At 63.6% G+C, this 1,262-nt stretch overlaps 1 annotated feature.

Moving 5' to 3' along the window:
- Window positions 209-711: an enhancer, noted in NCBI's record as "H3K27ac-H3K4me1 hESC enhancer chr8:143678374-143678876 (GRCh37/hg19 assembly coordinates)". NCBI's record gives its function as "activates a minimal SCP1, AML or CMV promoter by ChIP-STARR-seq in primed H9 embryonic stem cells {active_cell/tissue: H9 hESC(primed)}" and the evidence as "EXISTENCE:reporter gene assay evidence [ECO:0000049][PMID:30033119]".

Consider the following 1,262-nt stretch of genomic DNA (forward strand, 5'->3'; position numbering starts at 1 on the left):
TCCCAGTCAATGGAAGACAGGGGCCCCTTGACAGTGGGTGGCCAGGACGCTAATGCCCTCTCTGGTCTGCCCAAGCTCTTTGGCCCTTCAACTCTGCCCGGCATGGAGACCGGCCTTGGCCACTGGGATGCCTGGGACATGGCGGGCATGGCAGCCCCTGGTGGGGTGCTCTGAACAATGCACCTGGGGACAGAAGCAGGCTTGGGGACTGTGCACTGTCACTGGGCAGGCCCCGAGGCATCTGAGGCAGGAAGTCCCCTATGGACCCCTGGGCACCAGCATCCAACAGAGCCAGTGTCCGGTGTCCAGGACCCAGGCACCACTGGACACCCTGAACGAAGGTCCTCTAATGAGGCCTGACCCAGAGAGCCCCTGAGGGCCTGAGCCCCTCGTTGCCCTCTCATGCTCAGGTGCAGGGGGGTGCTCTCTGAGCTGAAGGGTCATCCTCCAGGGTAGGGGGCTGCAAGCAGCTGGGGCCAAGCCCCTCCTGGTCCTTTGGCCTAACCCTGAGAAAGAGCGGGGTTCAGTGGAACAAAAAGGGCCCAGCCACCGTGGGGAGAGGACCCCAGGACCATTTTCCCTGACAGCCAGCTCTGGACTGTCCATCAGGGTGCCCAGGCCAACAGAGGCCCAAAGTGTGGGGCTGCGTGGACTCCTGCGTGCAGAGGATGCCTGAGGCACAGGGCAGGCCCCCAGGGTTTGGCGAGAGTTGGGCCTGACTGATCAGCTCCAGGCGGCGTTTGGCTGGATAGATAGGAATGCAGATTTTGCCTTCCTCCTGGAAGGACTCAGGCCGAGCAGCCTCCGCATCTTTAATTCAAGCTTCGGGGGGAGGGCAGCCGCCTGCCAGGACTGCTGGGGAGACGGACCCAGGAGAGAGCCATGGCCGGAGCAGGAGGAGCCACCCCCAGGAGGTGGTTCAGGCTGCAGGCAGGAGGACTTGGCTGTCGCGGGACAGCCAAGGGAAGGACAGGCTGTCTCAGGACAGGCCTGCAGCAGGATCTGGGAGCTGGGGTGCCTACTATGGGGGAATGGAGACCAGGGGTACGGGGCAGCCGCAGAGGCAGCTCGTCACTCAGCTCCTTGCCAGCCCCGAGGCTCAGTCACTATTTTTGATAGGATAAGCATGGAGTTGGCCCTGGGCTCCGGAAGCCCAGTTGCCGGAAGAGGGGGTGGCCGACGCTGCCGCTGGCTCCCCGAAGTGACCTAGATGGAAGAGCGCCTCCTCTGCCTTTCTGCCACAGGCTGCCTCGGGCCTCACA

Source organism: Homo sapiens, chromosome 8 (assembly GCF_000001405.40).
Source record: "Homo sapiens chromosome 8, GRCh38.p14 Primary Assembly".
NCBI lineage: Eukaryota > Metazoa > Chordata > Mammalia > Primates > Hominidae > Homo > Homo sapiens.